This window comes from Homo sapiens, chromosome 9 (genome assembly GCF_000001405.40).
Source record: "Homo sapiens chromosome 9, GRCh38.p14 Primary Assembly".
NCBI lineage: Eukaryota > Metazoa > Chordata > Mammalia > Primates > Hominidae > Homo > Homo sapiens.
Window position 1 is genome coordinate 88,593,675 of NC_000009.12, and position 2,006 is coordinate 88,595,680.

The following is a 2,006-nucleotide window of genomic DNA, read 5'->3' on the forward strand; positions in this document are numbered from 1 at the left end:
CTTTGCAGCTCCCTGCAGCCTCCTCCACCTGCCCAGAAGCTCTAGAGACACTGCCTGGGACAGATTCTTGGCAGGTGGGATTTGTGGGGCACCGTGGTTCTCTTTTGCCCCTGGAAATGGTAGGCTGTGCTGGGGAAGAGAACGTGTAGGTCCTCAGGGTCTTTGCTTTCTTGAGGAAAAAAATGACTCAGCTTTCTTGGTGGTTAGAGCCCACATAATTTCATTTCAAGGGCTTGTTTTATATGTGGGAAAATTGCACATACACCCAATATACGATTGTTGAGGGTTTTTATAGATCCCCTTCACCACCAGGGGGCCCATAACTCCAGGTTAAGAATACCCCGAGAGAAAATTTTGCAGAGTGCAGGAAATGAAACCAAACCATATTTCCACAGACACCACAGTTAATATTTTGCTTTTCTTTTCAGTCTTTCTCAAAAGTTTATGCTTTCAAAAAGCCCTTTTCCATAAAAATTATTCACAAACTCTTTTTTGATGGCTACATAATACTCCGTCTCCAAATCATAGTTTACTGTTGGATTTTTAGGCTGTTCCCATTTTTTGACCATTAGAAACAGCACTCTTGTCATCACTGTGTGGATATAATTTTGTCTCTTTTTCATTTAATTTCCCTTGCATATACTTTTAGAAGTGGAACGACTAGGTCAGAGATTTAAATAATTTTTAATTTCTTGATACACATTGTTAAATTCTCATTTTCAGATATGTTGTCCCAATTCTCAATTTCAACAATAGTAGAGTGAGTGGAGTGGGCTTCCTATGCCATCCTTGCTGTCATAGACTGCTAGCATTTTCAATGTTTACAATTTCTTGGGTAAAACATGCCATTCCAGTGTGGCTCAAATCTGAACTTCTTTAATGACTGTGAGCGCAAACATTCATACAGGCACTTGTTTGCATATTTGTTTCTTCTTTTTTGAAGGTTCTGTCTCTTGTTTATTTTTTTCTTTTCTTTTCTTTTTCTTTGAGACAGGGTCTTGCTCTGTTGACCAGGCTGGAGTGCAGTGGCACCATCTCGGCTTACTGCAACCTCTGCTTTCCTGAGCTAAAGTGATTCTCCCATTTCAGCCTCCTGAGTAGCTGGGACTACAGGTGTGCACCACCATGCCTAGCTAATTTTTGTATTTTTAGTAGAGACAGGGTTTTGCCATGTTGACCAGGCAGGTCTTGAACTTCTGGGCTCAAGCAATCCTCCTGTCTCAGCCTCCCAAAGTCTTGGGATTACAAGCATGAGCCACCACACCTGGCCTATTTTACAATTAGGGTTTTCTCACCAAATTTGTGAGTTCTTGAAATATTATAAATAAACTTTCTCCTATTTGATGTCAACATTTCCCCTTTTGCTTACTGCATTATTTAATTTTGTTTATAGTAATTTCAGTTCTATTAGTTTTTTTGCTATTTTTTATGCAAAATCTCCTACCCCTATGCAAAAGAAAGGTAACTATTCACCTACAGTTTTTCTAATACTTCTATGATTTCAGATTTATATTTCACCTTTTAATCCATTCAACATTTATCTTGATATGTAACATGAAGTTAGACTAGAAAGCTGATTTATTTTCCCTCAATAAGATCAATAATTTTCCTAGCAGCAAGTATTGACTAATCCATTACAGTTTGGTTTGTGATTTGTAAAATATGTTAAGTTCTTATCAATAGAAATATGTGGTAGGCAGAATCATAAGACATCCCTGAAGATCATGCACATCCTGGGACTATGAATTTTCACTTAATGTCTTTTGTGACAAATTTTACTCTTGTGATTAGGTTAGGTTACGCAGTATGTTTGACCTCAGATAGGGAGACTCTCCTGTCGGCTAACCTAGTCACATAAACCCTTCTCTGGCTCTGCTGGCCTAGAAGACAGCAGAGTGCCTGTAGTCAGTCAGTGAGGAGACATGTACCCTAGGCCCATGGCTACAAGGAACTGGATTCTGACACAAGAATAATGAGCTGGGAAGCAAATATTTACCTAGAGCCTT

The 2,006-nt window shown here is 39.0% G+C and overlaps 1 annotated feature.

Moving 5' to 3' along the window:
• Positions 227-386: an enhancer, noted in NCBI's record as "active region_28526". NCBI's record gives its function as "activates an Ori minimal core promoter by ATAC-STARR-seq in GM12878 lymphoblastoid cells {active_cell/tissue: GM12878}" and the evidence as "EXISTENCE:reporter gene assay evidence [ECO:0000049][PMID:35858748]".